This window comes from Homo sapiens, chromosome 15, assembly GCF_000001405.40.
Source record: "Homo sapiens chromosome 15, GRCh38.p14 Primary Assembly".
Lineage (NCBI taxonomy): Eukaryota > Metazoa > Chordata > Mammalia > Primates > Hominidae > Homo > Homo sapiens.
Genome location: NC_000015.10, coordinates 20,772,847 through 20,796,452, shown reverse-complemented (window position 1 = coordinate 20,796,452; position 23,606 = coordinate 20,772,847). Strand labels below are relative to the sequence as shown.

Below are 23,606 nucleotides of genomic sequence, written 5' to 3'. Positions count from 1 at the left end.
GCTTGCCTGAATGAATCTCATATTTTCCAAGTGTTTTCTATCCCAGTGATTGGAACTTTTATTCATTTATACCATTGTCCAAAAGGAAAATACAGGAGATTTTCCTAAGACCATCCTCTGTCTTATCCCTCATATCATATCCCCAAACATCACCAAGCCCTGCCCACTTTTACCTACTCGGTTTCTCTCCAGTTGCTCTGTTTTCTCCATATGCACTAGTGATACCTTGGCTACATGAAGACCACCAGCAGCAGCCGGGACAACCAGCACCCTGTGGAACTGCATAGGGTGCATAGAATACGTCCTCCCTTCAGTCGGCTTGGGTCAGCTTAGGTCATGGGCCACCTGGACTGACAGCAGTTTCCACAGAAATGCCTCAAGATGATAGAATAATCCAAATCTCTTTGCATGGGGCATGGTGTGGCTATCTGAGAAAATCCTGGCTTTTATAGGAAGGAGAAAGAAGAATGCTTCTTGAGGGGAAGAAACCAACAGGAATGTGCCTCAGGGAAATGTCACCAGAGGAGAGTGAGCTGTAATGAGTATTTTGGCAGATTGCATGTTTCTTGTGGTTCTTGTGTTCCTTGGCCCTGCACAGAGCTACCATTTACTCATTTGACAAATATTTGAGTAGTAGACTCCAGGGTTCAATAGTGAGCAAAAATGCACAGAATTTCTTCTCTAGTGGAGCTGAGAGTCTAACAGAAAGAGGTGATGTTAGTCACAGAATTATGTAACAAGGGAAAGTTCAGCAGACCCAGGGATGCTGCAAGAGCCTGGGAAGGTGGACTGACCCCAAGAGGGAGGCAGGAAAGGTTGCCCCCAGGAAGCAGCACTTGAGCTAAAATCAGGGAGAAAACTAGGCAAAGACACAGCATTCAGGAGGAGGTAGAAGCTGGCCCATGAGGATGGTGGTGTGGAGAGGTGAACCAATACCCAGGTCTTGGATTTATTGTTGAGCTGCTGAATTAACCAGTGCTGGCTCTCTCCCAACCTCTGCACTTCTTGTTTTGCAAGGTTTTTTTTTTTTTTTATTTAAAAGCTAGTATGAGTTGGGATCTGTTGCTTTTCTGAGACCCCATCCTGTGAGGTAGACAGGGGGCCTCACTGTACTCTGGGGGAGCTAAAGATGGAGAAGAGTTTTAGAGTGCCTGGAGAAGAGGCCCTTTAATAGATCATTTAAGAAGAGGGTGCTACCACTAGACTGCCCAGATTCACTTTCTGGCTTTGCGACCTTGGGCTCTCTGTGTCTGTTTTCCAACCTGAACAATGGAATAATGATAGTATCTGCCTCTGCCTGCAAGACCCTGTCCTATCAGACCAACTACCTTTTCACTAGAACTCTCTTCCTGCACTGTACCCCAACTGGACCCTCATTAACACTTAAAATGAGCATGTTTCCCTTTTCTAGATTTTGCTCAAGACATTTCCCTCATCAGAGTTAACTTTGGTCCATCTCCCTCTATTGGAATTCAACCCATTCTCCAGAAATCAGTTCAAATTTTATCACCAGAATGCCTCTCTCAATTACACCAAGCCTCTTTTATACTTTGTGCCATTTCTGCCATGATTTCTTATGTTTTCCTTTTTCACTACATATTGGTACAGGTACATATGATCTCCACTTCCACTCAAATGTGAGGTTACTGCGGGCAGTCCCTATGGGTATAGTCATATCCCAAGAGTCCTGGGCAGAGGGTCCCCCTCTTGCACCCAGGTTGGAGTGCAGTGGTGCAACCAGAGCTTACTGCAGCCTTGACCTCCTGGGTTCAAATGATCCTCTCACCTTAGCCTTTCCAGTAGCTGGTATGAAAAGGCGAGCACCACCATGCTTGGCTAATTTTCATATTTTTCATAGAGATAGGGTTCCACCATGTTGCCTTGCTTGGTCTCAAAGTTCTGAGCTCAAGCAATCCACCTGCCTCAGCCTCTCAACATCCTGGAATGACAGCATGAGCTACCACACCTGGCCAAATGCCGAATACTTTAGTCATATATGCCTGACACTTCAGGGCATGCAGAACTGCCTCGCTTACTTTTCTTTTGACTCAGTTTATAAATTTTCTTAATTTAAATTTTAATTTCAACATGTGTACATCTTTGAAATAAATAAAATAATCTCTTTGAATGTTTGGCATAATGTGGAAGAAATTGACAAATGGATATCTTTACTTCATTTTCCATCTCAAAATGTGGTAGAAATATGCTCCCCTAAAGTGATCCCAATTATTACATAGCCATCTTGCTGTGGTTAATGTAGAATCTTTTTGCAATATCACATGCATGACAGGGCACATCCAAGAAACATTTAAGTGAAGATAATACTAGATTCTTGAAAGTATCTAGACACTTAAGAGCAGGCAGTGATGATGTTAATTAACAGTAACAATGTCGAGGGACTGGCTTTTGCCCTTCCCTAATAAACATAAAGAGCATAGAAACTCAGCAAATTTGCTCTATTGTCTTCATTATTTGGTTGTTGAATCAGTAAATGCTTTCCACAAGGGTCATCTTGTTAGTCATCTTGTCATTTTGCTGTGTCCCTTCTTCATCCTTGCACTTTTTCCTTTCTCCCATTTTGGAATGTATTGAGAGGAGTGTTATGTTGATGGAATGCCGTGTCCTGACTTGTCATTTGATTAGAACTTCCCTCAATTTTTAACATGCTTCTTGATATGGTTTGGATTTGTGCACCCCCCCATCCCCAATCTGATGTGGAATTGTAATTGCCAGTGTTGGAGGAGAGGCTTAGTAGAAGGTGTTTGCATCATGGAGGTGGTTTCTAATGGTTTAGCCTCATCCCCCTAGTGCTGTCTGATGATAAAGTTATCCTAAGATCTGCTTGTTTAAAAAGTTAAAAAGCACCTCCCCTGACTCGTTTCAGCCATGTGAATATGTGCTTGCTTCCTTTTCACCTTCTGCCATGATTGTAAGTTTCCTGAGGCTTCCCTATAAGCATAAGTCTGTACAGCCCACAGAACTGTGAGCCAATTCAATCTCTTTTCTTTTTCAATTACCCATTCTCAGGTATGTCTTTATAGCATGTGAGACAGACTAATACACTCATCCTCAGAAAGCATTCAATTTAGCTGTGTCTAAAGGTATGCCAGCTGTCCTGGGACATTATCTTAGCCAATCATTCTTCCTCCTCAGCAAGATCTATTTGCCTATCACAGCTTGACCACAGTTCCTACCATACCTGTCTGTAACAAGTAGCCTATAACATCTGGAGGGATTTCATTGAAATCACAGAGGTTCCTTGGTTCTTTACTTTATTAGCAGGCATTAGGAAAGCACATCAACTTTCTTATTTAATAAAGTGCCTGTTGCTTTGAAAAATTGCCCAAAAGAAGAAAAGAGAGGGTTACTTAAAGGTATCACTATAGGCATGGCATGCTGGTTCACACCTGTAATCCCAGTACTTTGGGAGGCTGAGGAGAGAGGATCACTTGAGTCCAGAAGTTCAATACCAGCCTAGGTGACATGGCAAAACCCCATCTCTACAAAACGAAACAAAACAAATAAAACAAAACAAAATAGAAAAAATATTCAGGCATGGTGGCATGTGCTTGTATTCCCAGTTACTCAGGAGACTGAGGTGGGAGAATCACTGTGCCCAGGGAGGTTGAGGCTGCAGTGAGCCATGATCATGCTACTCCACTCCAATCTGAGTGACAGAGCAAGACCCTGTCTCAAAAAAAAAAAAAAAAAAAAAAAAAAAAGCTATCACTATACTATCTGTAACTGTTCTTAATTAGGATAACTAGGTTTTTTCCAACAGTGGAAACTCCAAACAGACTAAATTGTTGTACATCAAGGTGAATTGTCATAGTTAATTCCTTTGCTTGCAACTGCCCAATAAATGGATGAGGACTCACTTCACCAATAAATAAGAAAGGTGAACAGCACATGGGGCCTGTAGATGCCTTTTGCAGGGCCCTCTTTTAATCCTCCTAAATTTGCAATTTGCATATTTCTGTAGATGGGCACATCATAGACGCTGTCATCCTAGATCAGAGCCTGGAGAGAGAGATACAAGTGTCATGCTTAAATCTGCAGAGTAGGAACAAGCCCAGAGAAATCAAGATGATTAAGCAGAGAGTTTCCATACTGGAGATAAACCAGCTGTGTAAAAAGTCATGCTTATTGAACAAAAATGCATTGCACCGCCGAAATAACTGCTTTAACTAAGAAGTAAAGAACTGACACCCCAACAGAGCACAGAGAGCCACATAGACAGGAGCTGCATTTCAAACAAGGTCATTGCTGTTTTCCCCACTCTGAGTTAAGTGTCTCTGCTTCACCCTTCCTTACCAAAGTTCTGCTTGATCATCCTTTTGTTTTGTTTTGTTTTGTTTTGTTTTTTGTACTTCCCTTCTTTGAGAAAATATAAACCAAAATTTTACATAAAACAGGAATTCAGCTTTTGACAATGTTAGCCATTGAAACAACAACAAAAAAGGTTTCTATTATTTCTCATCTCTGTGCTATCCAGTGCAGTAGCCAATAGCCACAGGTGACTATTAAAATTAAAATTAATTCAAATAAAACAAAATTTAACATTAGCTGGTCACTTGTACTAGCCACATCTCAATTACTCAATAGCCACATGTGGCTAGTGGCTACTGAACTAGGCAGCATGAATGTAGAACATTTTCATCATCATAGTTTTCTAGGTCATGGAAAAATTACAGAACTCAATTTCCAGTGTGCACATTTATTTGCATACCTAGGAGCTTTCTGACCCTGTGTTGAGCTGCCTAACCAGCTTCCTGATTGACCTCCTGATATTTCTGCAAATGTGGACTAAGAGGCCAGGATTCCTCAGGGCCCAGGTGACTCAGGTTATTCAGAAACTATGTTTGGACTAGCAGGCCTCTACTTGATTTGGGATGCGAAATGGGACTTCTCTTCCTAATTGCTAAAATAGATTTCAAGGTTCACCTCTCATCGCGGTAAGAGTCTCATTTCCTGAGACTCTTATTTCTTTCCATGACTTATGGTATATTCTGGAGAGAGTGGATTCACACAGAAGAGCTGGCTCTGTGCTGGTTTTCCAGGGGTCAGCCCCCTTGTCAGTGACAAGCCTGCCTATCTACATGATGTACATTATGTCCCACTACTGGTAATAGAAGCTCAGCAATTGATTGACTGTTAGGTTATTTTCAAAGCTCAGTATTCACAATAATCTAACAGACACCCACACAACCACAAGGACAGACAAGGCTCTCATAACCTGAAAAAGACAAGGTGCACATTTCTTCTTTCCATCCCAGCAACAAATTGCCAAACCAGCCAGCACTTAAGTTGGGGTAAAAATTAATTAAAAGAAGAACCTACCAATGTAGATAAAAGAACAGAAAAGCTATTGCAGCTGTCTTCTCCATAACAGAGGCCTGTGATTTGAATTTTAATGTTTCAATCTACTTTCTGCTCTTGTGTTTATTTTATTATTTATTTTTTGTCACTATCTCTTATTTGTAGATACAAATTTTTCATATTTAAAAGCTATTTTAAATATAATCTTTAAAAGGAGAAACATTATTTTTTTTAATTGCACAAAATACTGAAGGTGAGATCCACTGATTGGAAAGCAAAATGGGACAATATCTCTGGAAGCAATTTTATCCAGATAAATCAATAGCTTTAAAACAATTCAAAACCTTGGACCTAATACCTCTACTTCTAGGAAGCTAGCCTATGAAGGTTTCTGCTGAAGGATGTTTATCACAGTATTATTAATAATGCGAAAAAGCCAAAGAAGAGACCTGAAATGTTTCAAAGATGAAAATGGTTTGATAAACAACATTTTTTTTAGATGGGGTCTCACTCTGTTGCTCAGACTGGGGTGCAGTGCCACGATCTGAGCTCACTGCAAAATCCTTCTCCCAGGTTCAAGCAATGCTCCTGTTTCAGCCTCCCAAGTAGCTGGGAATACAGGCACACCAACCACGCCTCACTATTTTTTTGTATTTTAGTAGAGATGGGGTTTCACCGTGTTGCCTAGGCTGGACTCAAACTCCTGAGCTCAGGCAATCCATCTGTCTCGAACTCCCAAAATGCTGGGATTACAGGCATGAGCCACCACACCTGGCAATAAGCAACATATTTAAACACTAGAATATTATGCAAACATCCCAGGCATGCTTTGGAAAAACTATTAATCCCACAAAAGATGCTTATGTTATTATACAGACTAACAGACCAAGATTCTCCAGGACACTTACTATGTTACATGTCTGAAGTACAATATAATGCCATATATAAAATGTAACCTCAACTCAGGCCCCAGTCTTTTCATCTGGAAAATTCTATTAATTATACTGCCCTTCCCCTTTTTAGGTTTTCTGTAGGAGTTAAATACAATACACTTTGTCAATTGCTTAACACCATGCTCAACACTGGTCGGGAAGATATAAATGTCAGCTATTGTACTATGTGCCAAAAAAACAAACAAAAAACCACACAGACAGACACACACACACAAAGACACACACGGAGGGAGAGGAAGTAAAGATTAAGAAGCAGCACATAATGTTACGGTAGGCAATGGGACCACTAGTGATTTTCATATCCTTTTTTATTTTCTTCTTTATACTGCTTACATTTTTCAGTGTATACAATGAGCATGTATTACTTCTGTAACCAGAAGAATGTGGTATAAACCTCACCTTAATATAATAAAACAAAATTACTGGCCAGGAACGGTGTCTCGTGCCTGTAATCCTAGCACTTTGGAAGGCTGAGACTAGTAAATCTCTTGAGCTCAAGAATTTGAAACCAGCCTGAGCAATACAGTGAGACCTTGTCTCTGCAAAAAATACAAAAATTAGCCAACCATAGTGGTATACAACTGTAGTCCTAAGTTACTTAGGAGGCTAAGGTGGGAGGGTGGCTTGAGACCAGGAGGTGGCTGCAGTGAGCTGTGATTGCACCACTGCACTCCAGCCTGGGTGAAAAAGCCAGACCCAGTCTTGTACAAAAATAAAAAAAATAAAAAAAATAAAAAGTTATTACTTAGATCCCACATGCTGTCTTGGAGCCATTGTAGTGTTGCGGGATTCAAGAGACTGGAGAGACCAATGGATGAGACAGGAGGATTTTATTAAAGTGGCCACTGGCCTAGTAGATTCGCATCCAAAAGGCTGAGCCTGGAACAAAGATGGGGCCTGGTTTTTAAGCATGCAGCTGCGTGAAACTCACAGGGTGGGCTTAGCAAGCTTACAGAAGCAGAACAAAGGCAGTTAATCAAACAGTGACAGGTGTATGACTCAAACATGCCTGGTGACCTCTGCTGGGCCGTCCAGCAGGCCCTCAGCAGATGGTTACTATTTTAGGCTTGCTCAGACATGTCTTGTGACCTTCTCAGTGTTGCACAGATGGAAAACAGGAACTTACAAAATCCTTACAAACTTACAGAAATAGTTACAAAAATAGTTATGAGAGCAGAGCAAAGAGATACTGGCCTAGGAAAGAATCTCAAAGGGGGAAGCTGATAAGAAGAACTTGTTCTTCTCATCCCTGTTCCTGGAGTCCATTCCTTCTGGGCTCTGCTTGGCCTTGTATATAAAGTTAGCTTAGTCCTAGCAGGGCCTTGATGTGAGTCAGCCTGGTACAGGCAGGAATTTAGGTTTTTCTCCTTTTAATTTCGGCTTTAGTAGGCTAGGGTTCTGGTTGCCACTGCTGAGAAAGTAAAGTGTGTTCAGGCTGTCCATGGTTCTGGGCTCCCCCGGGTCTCTGAGGAGGGCTGTCCCCTCTATCACAGAGAATATCAGGACACTAGCCTGTTCCTAGTTATACTTACACACTCCTCTCATGTTGTCTATGGAGTGGAGGCTGCAGGGAGGGTGACATCCTAGTTAGTCCCAAGTGCCAGACTGCCTGAAGCTCACTGTTAACAAGTCCTGCCTTGGAGAAGAAGGAAGGTTGTCTCTGTGAATCTCCCACCTGGGCCAAAGGGAGGCCACTCTCTCCTCTGCCTCTCCCCAACCTTGGTCTTCTGCACTCCTAGTGAACCTCTCTCCCCCTGCCTACAGGCCTGGAATCTCAAGACCATGATGACCTAGTCACCCCTGAATCCAGGGCTTTCCCTTTACAAAGGGGAAACTGAGACCTGGAGCAGGGCCGATGTTCAGCCAGCCGATAAGGGAATAGCCGAATTGGTGGTAAAATACTGAAATAGTTCCAGTGTGGATGGAAAGGGGCCACTGCCCTGAACATCTCTACCCCGCCGCCTCAGCCCATCCTCCAGGACCCTGGGTCAGCACCAGGAGCATCAAAGTGGCCAGGATTGGCTGAAGCCCATGCTAATGGCTCTGCCAGCCCTTCTCCCCACCAGAGAAGGCAGGGGAAATCAGGCTATCTGGGGGTAGCACTGTGACCGTGTATGCAGTAGTCAAACCTTGTGTGCCACCATCCCTGACTTTGTTGATAAGGGCATCAGGCTACATCCCTCTGGTACTCAGTGGTAAGCATCTAAAATCTTAAAGAAAAAATTTAAAAAGCTTTCAAAATATAGGACTTAACATATGAGGCTGCACAAACATCTCTTTAGCAGTTGTCCAACTGGTGCTTCTGGTTCTGCCTCCCCAGAGAGTGGATGACCTGGGCCACCCTCCACCACTGCCCTGTAAGGCCATGGGACACACAGCCCATCAGTTCTCTTCACGTGGTCATCCCCCTTTAGATGGGAGAAAATATACCTGCCTCATTTTTGTACCTTCTGTTTGGACATTCCATGACAGAGCTTCACTAAATGTGTGATGAAGAACTGAATGAATGAATGAATGAATGAATATGAGAGCAAATGAATGAATGGTTTAGATCCTGGGCTGGAAGTCTGTATGAGGATGGTGGGTAGAGGAGAGTGTGTTTTTCTTGCCTTTAAGTCATTACTTGTCATTTTGGGGCAGGAGCACAGGCTTTGAATGCAGACTGACTGGACTTTAATCCTGGCTTTACTAGTTGTGATTGTGTGACCTTGTACATGTTACTTAAACCCTCTGTGCCTGTTTCTTTATCTGTAAAATGGAGATAATAAGATGACAAAGGACTGTGGTAAGAATTAAATGCTTAAAAAAATCACAGTTTGTATTAAGTCCTCAATAGATTGGGTTTAGCATCATGAGTGCATGTGTTTCTGGAACAATGCTCATCTTGGGCTGGATGGTGCCTACACAGAGAAAGACTCTGGCCTCTTCTCACTCACATGTATCTGTCTTATGCCTGGTTCCCATTCCCAGAGCCTTGGAAGATCCATATTGCTGAAACGGTGAAGGGTGATGGGCACCTCAGGACAACTAAGTTGCTCCCCAAACATCTTCCCCCGCTCAAACTCTCCTGTGGTCTTTAGCATTTAACAGGAATCTCTGGACACTCCAAGGGGTGATCCTCTCATGGAAGCCCAGTGGGGAGGAGGCTGCAGGAAAGGTCAGGCACTGTGCACTTCCCTGACAGCTGCAAATGGTTCTGTTTCCAAGCCCACGGGTCACTACAAATAAGGCAAGTTATATGACATAATAATGTGATTCTTTGGTGCCTCGGTCCACACTGGCACTTTAATACTCCTAGAGTGGATTGCATGGTGGTCTATCAAAAGATATGTCTACCTGGAACATGTGAATGTACCTTTATTTGGAAAACAATCTGCAGATGTAATTAAATCCAGCACCTCGAGATGAGGGCATCTCATCTTGGATTAGGATGGGCCCTAAATCCAATGACAAGTATCCTTATAAGAAAGCGGCAGGTAGGGCACAGTGGCTCACACATATAATCCCACCACCACCACTGAGGAAGGTCAAGTTGGGAGAATCGCTTGAACTCCAGGCGTTCAAGACCTGCTGGGCAACATGGTGAGACACTGTCTCTCCAAAATGTATATAAAATATAATAGCCAGACATGATGGCACCCGCCTGCAGTCCCAGCTACCAGCTACTCAGGAGGCTGAGGTGAGACGATAGCTTGAAACTGGGAGGTTGAGGCTTCAGTGAGCTGTGATCATGACACTGCCCTCCAGTCTGGGTGGCCCCTGGCCCCTCCACAACCTGCGCTAGAAGAGCTGGGCCCTGGCTCTGGGCATCATGCAGCCTCTGAGGTGGGGCTGAGTGCCAGTTCCTGCCCTCCTGCAGCTGGGGACCAACACCCTGACTTAGGCGCTGTGGAGGCTTCTGGCCCAAGGGTCCGCACTGCTGGTGGCACTGGCAGGGTCGGAGTTTGCCACAGCTGCTGCTGCGCGCCTTGTGCAGGTTACCACTGCAGCTGAACCTACATCAGAGGCAGGCAGGGCTGGTCCCAGACAGCCTGGGGGTCTCTGAGTGCAGGGCCCTTTCACCCTAGAGTCAGCTCTTTCTTGCCGGAGCCCACAGCGGGGTGTGCAAGCGCTGGGTACAGGGCAGCAGCCAGGAAATGGCTGAGCGGCCGGCTCCCGCCCTCCTGCAGCTGGGGTCTGACCAGCTGAATTAGCCGGTGGGCGGCGTCTGGCCCTGGGATCCGCCTGGCTGGTGTAGGAGCCTGGTCTGGGGTTGCCTCCAAGGCTGCTGCGCGCGCCATGTGCAGCTGGCTGCTGCAGCTGGGCCCATCACCTGACAAGGAGTTTCCCAGACAGCCTCAGGGTCATGGAGTGGACCACTGTCCCAGCCTAGTGTACGCTCTTCTTTTGCCTGCGCCCAGAGTTCCGGGTCGCGGGCACCGGGAACTGTGCAGCCAAGGTGCTTCGGCCGAGGGCAAAGGTTGCTGCCCTGCTGCAGCTGCTGGGCTGAGTGCCTGAATTAGGCGCTGAGGCGGCGTTGTCCCCGGTGTCCTGGCTCTTAGTGGTGCAGGCAAAGTGCCCGGTTGCTCTGCTGCTGCGGCGCCCTTGTACAGGTGGCAGCTGTAGCTGAGTTCTCAGTAGACGCCGGCAGGGTTGGTCCTAGAAAGCGTGAGGATCGCCGAGTGCACCGCCCTCCCAGCCTAGGGTCCACTCTTCCTTGGCCCGAGCCCAGAGCCCGGGGTTTCAGGCGCTGGGCCCTGTGCAGCTGCCCAGAATATGCTGAGCGGCAGGTTCCCGCCCTGGCAAGGGATCCAGCCGTGGTATCCTCACTGCTGTTGGCTGGCAAGGTCAGCGGGGTTTCCACCGCTGCTGCCGGGAGCCACCTGGCGGTGGTAGCTGCAGCTGAGCGCGTGGCAGAGACCGGCAGGGCTGGTCCCAGACACCCTGAGGGTCTCTGGGTGCATCGCCCTACCACCCTAGGGTCTGCTCTTCCTTAGCCTGCTCCCAGGACGCGGTGTACGAGCGCTAGACTCTGAGCAGCCTCCAGGATGGGGCTGAGCGGCGGAGTCCTGCCCTGCTGCAGCTACAGTCTGAATTAGGCGCCACCGCAGTATCTGACCCTGGGGTACGTGCTACTGGTGGCATGGACAGAGATGAGGGCTGCCACAGCTGCTATGGGGCTGAGCAGCCGATTTCCGCCCCGCTGCAGCGGGCGACCGCTGCAATCCCCAGCGCTATGGGACCGACCACCTGACTTAGATGCCTTGGAGGCATCCGGCCCTAGGGTCTTTGCTGCTGGTGTCTGAGGGCAGGGTCAGGGCTGCCACTACTACTGCCGTGCGCCATGCGCAGGTGCCAGCTGCAGCTGAGTCCCAGGCAGATGCTGTCAGGGCTGGTATGAGGTTGCCTAAGGGTGGCTGAGTGCACCGCCCTTCCACCCCAGGGTCCGTTATTCCTAGGCCGGCGCCCAAATTGCAGGGTCGTGGGCGTTGGACACTGTGCAGCCATGAGGATCTGGTTGGGTGCAGATTCCCGCCCTCCTGCAGCTGAGAGGCCAACCTCCTAACAGGCGCCGCAGTGACCTCTGGCTCGGCGGTCCGCGCTGCTGCTGGAGCTGGCAGAGACCAGAGCTGCCACCGCTGCTGCTTCCAGGAGTGTGCAGCTGGCAGCTGCAGCTGAACCCGCAGCGGAGGCTGGAAGGGCTTATTCCAGAAGCCTTGAGGGTCCCCGAATGCACCGCCCTCCCACCCTAAGGTCCAGTCTTCCTTGCCCGCTCCCAGAGAGTGGGATTGCAGGCGCTGAGCACAGTGCAGGCGCTGGGATGGGCTAAGCTGCAAGTTTCCGCCCTCTGGCTGCTGGGGGGCCGACCGCCTGAGTTATGCGCCGCGGCGGCTTTTGGTCATGGGGTCCGCACTGCCGGTGGCTTGCACAGGGTCGGGGGCTGCCACAGCTGCTATAGTTCACCATGTGCACGTGGCAGTCGCCCCTGAGCCCACCGCTGAGGCTGCAGGGCTGGTCCGGTCTCAGACGGCCTGAGGGTCATTTGCCCGCGCCCAGATCCGGGTGGCTGGCGCTGGGCACTGTGCAGCCTCCAGGAATCCGCTGAAGGGCAGGTTCCCGCTCTCCTACAGCTGTGGGCCGACTGCCTGATTTTGGCCACTAGGTGGAGTCTGTCTCTAGGGTTTCGAGGCCGCTGGTGTCGGCGGGCGGAGTCCCGGTTTGCCACCGCTGCGCGCCATGAGCAGGTAGCAGTTGCAGCGTAGCTTTAGACAGAGGCTGGCAGGGCTGGCCCCAGACGGCCTGAGGGTCAGGGAGTGCAGGGTCCTCCCACCCTAGGTCCGCTCTTCCTTTGCCCTTACCAAGAGCGGGTTGTGCGGGCGCTGGGCTCTGTGCAGCCGCCGAGGTGGGGCTGAGCAGCGGATTTCCGCCCTGCTGCAGCTGGAGGACGATTACCTGAATTAGCCGCTGAGGCGGCATCTGGCCCTGGGTTACTGCTGCTGGTGACGCGGGCAGGGTCAGGGTTGGTTGCAGTTGGCAGCTGCTGCTAAACCCATTGCGAGCCTCAGGGTCACCAAGTTCACCGTCCTTTCATCGTAGTGTCTGATCTTTGGCCCGCGCCCAGAGTGAGGACTCGCCTGCGCTGGGGATTGCATAGCTTCTGGGGGGCGGTCAGCGCCCGTTTCACGTCCTCCTGCAGCTGCGTGGCCTAAGGTCTTAGGCGCCGCGGCGCTATCTGGCCCTGCTGTCCGTGCTGCTGGTGGCGGGGACAGGGTCGAGGGTTGCCGCTGCTGCTCCCGTGCACCATCGGCAGGTGGCAGTTGCAGCTGAGCCCACAACTGAGGCTGTTGGGGCTGCTCCCAGGTTGTCAGAGGGTCGCCGAGTTCACCGACATGCCACCCTAGGTTACGCTCTTTCTTGGCCCGCACCCAGAGCGCCGGGTTACGAGTCCTGGGCCCTGTGCAGCCACGGGGATGGTGCTGAGTGCAGGTTCCCGTCTTCCTGAGATGCGGGGCGACCACTGGAATTAGCCTCTGTGGTGGTATCTGACCCTAGGGTCCGAGCTGCTGATGGCGTGGGCGGGGTCGAAGTCGCCTCTGTTGCTGTGGCGTGCCATTTGCACTGTCCTCCGGAACAGGCTGGTCTGTGCTGTGTATGGTCAGTGGAGTCTTCTCTGGGCATGCTTCACTGATATCTGCTGACATGGCTCATCTTCTCTTTGATTTTGCATGTATTGGCACTCAGTGATGAAGTTTCTGGTCACGCACTGCCATTTTCCTCTAGCCTCCAAGACCTCACATTCTGAGGCCAGCATGTCCCACCAGGGGCCTCCACTGGTCCTGTCAAACCAGGTGTGAGTCCCCCTTCCACCAAGCTTGGAGAGACTGGCTTTTCAGACAGCACTCACAGGCTGAGAGTAAGGGAACTGATCTCTCAGGCACTTCCCCCTGTCCTGCCACTCTGTCATTCCTGGGACACCCTATGTGCACTAGAGAAGTAAGACACCAGCCTGCATATTTTCTCATCTTTCTTTAACTGTCTATTTTTTCCTATCCATCTGTTTGAGCGAGTCCCAGGAGGATGTTGGGGCTGAATACCTGATCAGAGACACAGGCAGAGCCATAGTCACATCTCCTGGGAACTTTCTTCTTCCTGTGTAGTTAAAAGCTCTTCTCTTCCTCTTCTTCACAGAAATTCCCCTTACACTAAACCTTTGACTAAAGCCATCCCCTCAGTTTGATAAAATTTTTAGACAGGATTATTTCTGATTCTTGGCTCCTCACCTCTTTTTTTCTTTAGCATATTTTAGAAATGTTATCATTGTAAATTCTTTCTCTGCCTCTTTGATAAATCTTTCTAAGAGCCCACGTGCCAGTTTTACACTTCAGAAATGTCCATTTCAAGGACCTCAGAGCCATCCCTTTGAAATGTAATTCTCAAAAAAGATAACACCATTATCTCCCAGACTCCATGAGAGAGTAAGAGCCAAATTTTGGTGGGCATATTCCTCTAATTTGTAAAATCACCTTCTGTCATAAAGATGAAAGATAGTTTAATATTCCTTTGGAAAAAGACAACTATCAAAGACAAGTGGTCTATGATCTCCCCCTCATCCTGGCTCTTAAAATCTCTACTGCTGTTTGTTTCAGCGGAGCTGAGTTCAGACTAAGTTCTGGCCTCTTTGCCCTTTTGCAATAGTCTTCAATAACAGCTTTTTTATGTGTTTAACTTTGTCTGGTGCAACTGTTTTCTTTGACACTTTCCACCCTAACTAGAACTTCCATTAAAGTCATAATAGGATTCAAGGCAGCCAAACTTGACTCACATACGTAAAAAAACTTGTTAGGATTTAGAAACCCATATTCTCTTCAATAAATTGTTTCTTCAGACTGTTGCCTTATTAAAAGTTTCTAGTTCTTATTTTGGCATTGAAAAGGAGAATACCAATTTTTAAATAAGTCTCTGCTCACTTTTAATTTCTGCTATCACAATTTTATTGCTTTCCACGGCTGAACAATGAGAAGACCAGAACACAATTTTAAGTTAAATTTTATTTAATTTTTACCATTACAATTTTATTGCTTTCTCTGACTGAAAAGAGAAAACTCAAACAAAGTAGTCTAGTCTACGAAGTGGACTAGAACAAAGAATCATGTCTCATTAATACATTTCAGAAAGTTACCTCCATTTAACATCAATGGTGTCATTTAATATTCTTAACTTTCCTATCAAGTAGATGCTATTATTACCTCTATTTTATAGGATATTAAGTCTTATATATTATACATAACCAGCTGAAGGTCATGTAGCATGTAGATATGATAGGCATACAAAGAAGCAATGACATTAGAAGCAGAGGAGGGAGAAGGATTAAAAGGCTATACCTAGGTCGGTTAAGAGAAAAAGAAAAACTAGGAGGAGACAAATTCTTGTTAGAAAAAAATAATGATCGAGGCAGAGCAAGACAGTGGTGCAGACCTCTCCAGCTATCATACCCCTATAGAAACATCAATATGAACAACTGTCCACATGTGAAATTACCATTACAAGAGCCAACAGAACCTCAATACATGAACAAGGTTATGAAGCACCTTTGGCCTGTGAAGATGGGTAAAACCATGGCTTACAGAGTGAGAGAACCAATACTCTGTGACTGTGATACTCCTCCCTCAGGCCATTATGGTACCATCTGCAGAAACTCCCATAGGGCTTATAGTTTTTACACTGAAAAAAGTCAGCAGGAGGTTGATATTTGTTTTTTCCACTATACTGAGTGCCTTCACAGTAGACTCACTCCTGTATCAGCCCACAAGTGGCACCATGAGTGCCAAAAGGGATGAACCACCTGAGGCATGTTAAGGACATAAGAGGAGGTGGGGCCAGCAACAGCCACCATGTGAAACATAATACACAGACTACACGCTTGACGGCCTGACTTGTTCTCCCCCATAGCCAGGGGCTCCCTGTGGATCACCCATGGGCCCATCCAGCAAATGTTGCAGCAGTGGTGGAGCCATTGGAAGACTTATGTCTAACGTGGGATTTGGACTCTCTCTAATGCTAAAATGGAATACGATGGTAAGTCCGCTCAACATTTCCTAATAAGCCCACTTAAAAGTAGTCACAAACAAACCCAGACTGAGAAGACACAAATAAATATCTAATTCATCAATGTGTAGACAGAGATGTATATCTACATATAATAATGATAGCTTAGGAAAAGTTGCCTCTCCAAATGGACAAAACAAGGTGTCAGCAACTGAACTTAAAGACATACAGATGAATGATCTGGCAGGCAAAGAATTCAAAATGGCTGTTTTAAGAAGAGCCTGAACACTGAGAAAGCAGAGACATAATTCAGAAATTTACCAGAGAAATTCAACAAAGAAATCAAAATAATGGGAAAAATCACATGTAAATCCTGAAGCAGGAAAGTTCAATTAACACATTGAAAATCCAACGGAAGGCATCAACAGAAGAACTGATCAAGCAGAAGAAAGAAACAGTGAGCTCAAAGACAGGCTCTTTGAAAATACATGGTCAGAGTAGAATGAAAAAAAGAATGAAAAGAAACAAAGAAAGTTTATGAGATTTGTGGGACACCAACAAAAGAGCAAATCTACATATCATTGGTGTTAAAGGGGAACTAAGAATGAAAAGGAGATAGTTTATTCAAAGAAATAACAGAAAACTTTTTAAACCTGGAGAAAGATTAAAATGTTTAGGATGGTCAAAGTGCCCAATCATATTTAATCTGAATAAGACAACCAAAGACATTTTATAATTAAACTCTCAAATGTCAAACACAAAGAGAAGACCCTGAAAGGACTAAGAAAAGGGAAACAACACATAAGAGAATTCCAATATGCCTGGCAGCAGACTTCTCAGCAGAAGCACTACAGGCCAGGAGAGAGTAGGATAATAGATTCAAGTGCTGAATTAAAAAAACTGTCAACCATGAATAAAGTATCCAGCATAGCTATCATTTAGAAATAAAGGAGAGATTGAAACATTCTCAGACAAACAAAAAGCAAAGGAATTCATTGTAATCAAACCAGCCTTACAAGAAACGCTAAATATTGTTCTCCAAACTGAAAGAAAATGGCAGCAATATGTAACACAAAAAATCTGAAGGTATAAACCCACAGGTAGAAGTGAGGATTCAGACAAATTTGGAATGCTCTAATATGGTAATAATTGGATGTAAAGCACTTATATATCCTTAGTAGGAAGGTTAAAAAACAATACAAATAAAATAATAATAATTACAATAATTTGTTAAGGAATAGCAATATACAAAGATGTAAATTAAGACATCAAAAATGCAAAATGTGAGGGAGTGATGGAGTTAAAGAGTAGAGTGGTTTCTTTTCCCCTCTTTTTGAATCAAAATTAAGTTGCTATCTCTTTAAAATAACTTATTGTAACCACAAAATGTTCTTTGCATGCCTTGTGGTAACCACAAAGCAAAAACTTTTAAAAGATACTCTAAAAATTAAAAAAAAAAAAACCGAAACACACTGATAGAGTAAAGCACTTAATCACAAAGGAAGATAGAGAAATCAATCAATCAAAGTACAAATTAAAAAAAACATGAAAACAAGTAATAATATGGCAGAACCAAGTCCTTGCCTATCAACAATTATCTTGTATGTAAATGGATTATCCCATTTAAGACATATAATGGCTACACTGATTAAAAACAAGACCTAACTATAAACTTTCTACAGGAAATTCACTTCATCTGTAAATACACACATAAATTGAAAGTGATCAGATGGAAAAATATATTTTATAAATATGGAAACCGAAAGAAAGCCAGTATAGATATATTTATATCAGATAACATATACTTCAAACAAAATCCTATAAAAACAGACAAATACAGCCATTATATAATGATAAAGGGATCAATATCACAAGATAATATAATTGTAAATATATATGCCCTCTATATTGAAGGACCTAAATATATAAAACAAATGTTAATAGATCTAACAGGAGAAACAGCAAGCAATAAAATAATAGTAACATTCTACTTTCAGCAATAAACAGATTATCAAGACATAAAATCAACAAAGAAACATCATATTTAAAGTGAACTCTAGACCAAATAACTTAGCAGTCATTTACAGAACATGTTATCCAACAATTGCATAATTCACAGTCTTCTCTACTGCGCATGGAACATTTTCCATGATAGATCATATACTAGGCACAAAATGAGCCTTAGCAAATTCAAAAAAAAATCAAAATTATATCACATCTTTTCTGACAATATAGAATAAAACTAGAAATAAACAACAAGAACTTCAGAAATTGTGCAAATACATACAAATTAAACAACGTGCCCCTAAACAAACAATGGGTTAAAAAATAAATTTTGTTTCATTTTAAAAATTCTTAAGACAAATGAAAATGAAATCAGAACATATAAAAACTTACGAAATACAGCAGAAAAAGTCCTCAGAGGGAAGTTTGTAGAAATAAATTTCTATATGAAAGAAAGAAAACTCTCATTAATAATTTAAGAATGCATTTCAAGGAATTATAGAAACGTGAACAAACTTAGCCCCAAATTGGTAAAAGAATATAGATAATGAAGACCAGAGCACAAATAAACAAAATGGAGACAAAAATATGAAAGATCAATGAAATAAAAAGTTATTTTTTGAAAAGATAAACGCAATTGATATATCTTTAGTCAGATTAAGAAAAAAGAGAGAAGATTCACATAAATAAAATGAGAGATGAAAAAAGACATTAAAATGGTTACTACAGAAATACAAAGAATCATGAGAAAGTACTAAAATTATATGCCAATAAATTAGAAAACCTAGAAGAAATAAATACGTTTCTGAACACATATAACCTATCAAAATTGAAGAATTAAGAAATACAAAATGCGAACAGACCAATAACAAATAAAGAGATTGAAGCATTGTCTCTCAATACAAGAAAATCTGGAGGGCTGGCACAGTGTCTCACACATGTCATCTCACACTTTGGAGGCCAAGGCAGGAGGATTACTTGAAGCCAGAATTTCCAGATTAGCCTGGGGAACATAGTGAGACCCAGTCTTTACAAAAATAAAAATAAAAATTATCCAGGTTTAGTGGTGTGCACTTGCAGTCCTAACAACTTGGGAGGCTGAGGCAGGAGGATCACTTAAGACCAGGAATTTGAGGCTGCAGTGAGCTATGATTGCACCACTGTACTCCAGCCTGAGTGACAAAGAAAGACCATGTCTCTAAACCAAAAATATTTAAGAAGAAGAAGAAAAAGAAAGAAAGAAAGAGGAAGAAAAGAGAGACAGAGGGAGGGAGGGAGGGAGGAAGGAAGGAAGGGAGGGAAGGAGAAGAAAATAAAAATCGAGGATCCAATGCTTATACTGCTGAATTCTTCAAAACATTTAAAGAGGAACATATACTAATTATTTACAAACTGTTCCAAAAAAAGTGAAAAGGAGGAAACTCTTCCAAACTCATTCTATGAAGACAGAATTACCTTATTCCAAAATGCGACAAGAACAGTGAAAAACTAAACTACAGGCCAATATCAGTGATGAACATAAATGCAAAAATTCAAAACCAGCAATGCTAGCAATCATAATTTGAAAGCACATTAAAAAGATGATTCACCATAATCAGGCTGTATTTGTTCCAGGGAGGCAAGGAGGGCTTATGATATATAAATCAATAAATGTGATACACCACATTCGCTAAGGTAAGATAAAAATCATATAATCATTTAAATAGATACAGAAAAAGCATTTGACAAAATTCAATGTTTTTTGTAAACATAAGATCTCTTAACAAATCAGTTATAAAAAGAGTATAACTCAATAAAATAAAGGCCATATGTGATAACCCACAGCCAACATGATACTGAATAAGGAAAAATTGAAAACTGTGTCTCTAAGATCAAGAACAAGACAAGGATGTTCACTTTAATAACTTCTCTTCAACATAGCACTGGAAGTCCTAGCTAGAGCAATTAGAAAAGAGAAAGAAAAGACATCCAAATTGAAAAACAAAAAGAAAGTCAAATTGTCCCTGTTTGCAGATGACATAGATCATGTCATATGTATAAAAGACCCTATACTGAAAAACAGAAACAGTAAATGAATACAGTAAAGTTTTAGAATACAAAATCAGCATAGAAAAATCAGATGCATTTCTATACCCAACAGCATACTATCTGAAAAAGGAATCCCCATTGAAAATAGCTATAAAAAAAATGCCTGGCAAAATAAAGACGTCTAAAATGAAAACTATAAAACATTGATAAAAATCAATTGAAAAGATACAAGTAAAGACAAGGTTATCCCATTTTTTGAATTAGAAGTGTTAATACTGTTAAAATGACCATCATACTCAAATCAATCTATAGGTCCAATACAATCTCTAACCAATTTCCAATGTAATTCTTCACGTTCTGCGGATGTTAAAAAGATTTTTAAAACCGTTTTTTTGGTTCTGCAGGCGAAGGCTGTGGCCGCGCTCCCGCCGGCCAGTTCCCAGCAGCAGCTCATCGCCCCTGCTCCGCGCCTTCGCTCCAGGCCCGCACGGTCGCAGCCCCGCGAGAATCAGCACTGAGCCGGTCCCGCCGCCGCCGCCCCAGTGTCGGGCTGCTGCTGCGGGAAGCCAAGCGCCCACCGCTTGGAGGAGGGCGACGAGGCCTTCCGCGCGAGCAAGTACCAGAAAGCGCCGGGCTCTTCCGCTCCATGCTGGCCCTGCTGGCGCAGCCCGACCGCGGCCGGTGCCTGAGGCTGGGGGACGCGCTGGCCCGCGCCGGCCGCCTCCCGGTGGCCCTGGGCGCGTTCCATGTAGCCGGGAGGTTGGAGGCGCTGAGTCCGGAGGAGCTGGGGGAGCTGGCGGGCGGCCTGGTGTGTCCCGGCCTGCGCGAACGGCCACTGTTGGCGGGGAAGCCTGGCGGCGAGCTCAGGGCTAGGGAGGGCCGGCCCTGGCGCCCGGCGCGCCCCGCGACCTGCTTGGCTGCCCACGGCTGCTGCACAAGCCTGTGACGCTGCCCTGCGGGCTCACGGTCTGTGAGCGCTAAGTGGAGCTGGGGCCCGCGCGGCCACAGGCGCGGGCGCGTGAACGTGGTGCTGAGCCGCCTGCTGGAGAGGTGCTTCCCGGCCGAGTGCCCGCTGCGCAGGCTGGAGGGTCAGGCGCGGATCCTGCAGCGCCAGCAGCAGCCCGAGGCCGCGCTGCTCAGGTGCGACCAGGCCCTGGAGCTGTGACTTGGCTGTGGGGCTGGCCCGCCTCCCTGGCCCCTGTCAAGCCGAGCGGCTGGAGCTAACCCGCGGGCCTGGGCTTTTGAGCGCTTTGTCCAGGCGTAGGGGGTCACTTTGCTTACTAATGATGGGAAGGTGAAAGGTGGGGGAGGCCACTCCCTGCAGTCAGGGTGGCAGGTGTCAGAGGCCACATGCAACCCACTGGTTTTGTCTTTTCTAGGATGCTGATAAGTTTCCCGCGGCCCCCGGAGCAGCTCTGTAAGGCCCTGTAGTTGCCTTTCATTCCCTTCTGCTCTATTGAGGAGTGGGAGGATGACAAAGTGTTTTTGCTCAACCCGAAGGAAAATGCACATGGGAGGACACACCGGGTTACTATTTGAGTAGCCCAGGCAAGAGACCAGCGGCTGCTTCAGCCATGAGACCACCTCAGGCCAAAATAGCCTTGTGGTTGTTTTACTTCTTTTCACCAAATGGGTCTTTTTGGGGTTTGTGGCATGTCCCATGTAATGATGATCTCTTGGTTCCCCTTTCTCATTCACACCCGGGAGCTGAGGTGGGGTGGGGGAGTGGGGGGGGAAGGGGAGTGGCCACCTGCGCCAGGTATGAGAGAAGCCACACCTGAGACCAGCCCCTCTGTCCTCCTGCCTCTGCATGCAGCGTCCCTGCAGGAGGCAGAAGGGGTGAAAAGTAGCCTCGATGTGAAAGTCCTTGTGTGTCCCTGAGGGGGGAAGTAAGTCACAGTCGGGACACTGGTTCCTGTCACTGGGTGCAGCACAAAGAAGGACCCCAGGACATGCGGTGCAGACGGGAGCACAGAGAGGGTGAGTGCTACTGGGGTGCACAGGCAGCTTGAGGAGGATGGAGATGGCAAACTTCCCTTTGTCACACCAGGTCCACGTTCAGGGCCGGAGGACCACCAGATCCCCAAAGCCTCCGGTGCTTCCGAGGCAGAGGAGAGGCAAAGCCGGTGGCCCCCTGCGTCCAGGGACCTGGCAGCCACCACTGAGGCCCACCTGCTTGTCCCTCAGCCGGGTGCCCACTGGCAGCCACACTCCAGGTCTCTGGGCTCTGCCCAGGACGTGTGTTTGGGCTTCTCTCCCCAGCAGAAGTCATCAGCGTACCCTCTGCATCCCACGGATTTGCTTTGTTTCTGAGGGAATAATTAAGGAATGTTAGTATGATATCAGAAAATAGCTAATTATGGTGAAGAGCTAACAGGGCAATCTGGGAAGCTGTGGAGCTCTAGTTAGTGATGACAGAAGAGGAACATATTTGACTGTTTTGTGCTACACCCAGGTTCTCAGGAGGTGGCCAGGGAGGAGACTTGGCACTGTGCCATGCTCAGAGCCCCTAGTCCCAGGGACTGTTTCCCTGTGGGAGTTTGGATGAGAGGCAGTTGGCTGGGAAGCTCAGGATGGAGTGAGGAAGGAGAACGACTTGAGGTGCTTGGGTTGGAAAGATCTAGTACCCCAGGAGGGACTGGCTGTGGCCTGCACACACCCCAAACTCACACACTCTGTCATGCTCACACAGACACGCACACACACTCATGGACCCAAGCTCACACACCACACTCACATGGCTTATTCACACACTTACACACATTAACACACATATGCACTCATATTTACACATCCGCACACAGTTATATTCCACATACACACTCATACTGCCAAGTTCAAACACCACTATCACACATTTCTTCACAAACATTCACACAACTCACATACACACTCTCACACATGTACACACTCACCTACCCACTCTCCATTACACACATTTACCTGTCCGTTCTCACACACATGCACAAACACAAAGCCAAATTAGAGCCATTTTCCTGGTCCCACACAAACAAAAATGATACCTCAGTTTCTTGATCTTGACCAGAATTGGGCACATGATTCCATCCAACCACAAGGTGGGGCGGGAATGAAATCCTATCACGTCCTCAGGCTGTGGAGAAAAAAAACTATGTCAGGCCTCTCTAATGCCTCCCACAAATGGGCAGGAGGGATTGAAACAGAAAAGAGGTTCCTCCTGACATGTGGCATTGATGGAGCCTGGTTCTGCCTCATGCCAAGCCCTGCCTTGCCCCTCGATGATGGAAAATGGTTGTGTGTCTTGTTTCCTGGCCTCCATCTCTGTCTTGGTACAGAGTAGAGACTTGAGTCTCAGTTCCAAAGACAGGAGTCCCGCTGAGCTGACCCGCCCACTGACAGATGAAGTCTTGCCATCTGCTGACCAAGTTCCCCAAGGCCCCTTGAGACTCAACTTCTGAAGAGGTTCTGCTCAGAATTCCCCGTCCCCATGATCTGCCCGGCTGTCGGGACACTGGTGAGCCTGCTCAGTGGGGAGTCCCTTTTCAGCTCAGTCAGCAAGTGGCTCTTCTCTATAAAGAGGCAGGGGATGAACCTCCTCTCTAGTTTTAGCAGAAGAGGCCATGAGACCCATGGCAGAGGCCAGAGCTGTGCAGGCTGTAGGAGGTACCACGTCAGGGATTTCAAACGGAGGAAGGTACTTTCCAGAGAGTACTGCAGGGAACCAAGCCATATCCACCGTAGCTGCAATAAAAACTCTGAGGCTCAGCTTAAACTCAATCCTAGAAATGATGTCCCAGC

General features: G+C 45.9%; 1 long non-coding RNA gene and 1 pseudogene across 1 annotated transcript; one reads left to right on the top strand and one right to left on the bottom strand.

Moving 5' to 3' along the window:
- On the top strand, positions 20,228-20,991 carry LONRF2P3 (LONRF2 pseudogene 3; annotated as a pseudogene).
- Positions 21,719-23,345, bottom strand: LOC124903443 (uncharacterized). Its single transcript, XR_007064498.1, has 3 exons — positions 23,031-23,345; positions 22,853-22,941; positions 21,719-22,138 (listed from the first exon to the last, which is right to left on the bottom strand). It is a non-coding gene; the product is annotated as an uncharacterized LOC124903443 (long non-coding RNA).
- Positions 23,346-23,606: the final 261 nt, after the last annotated feature.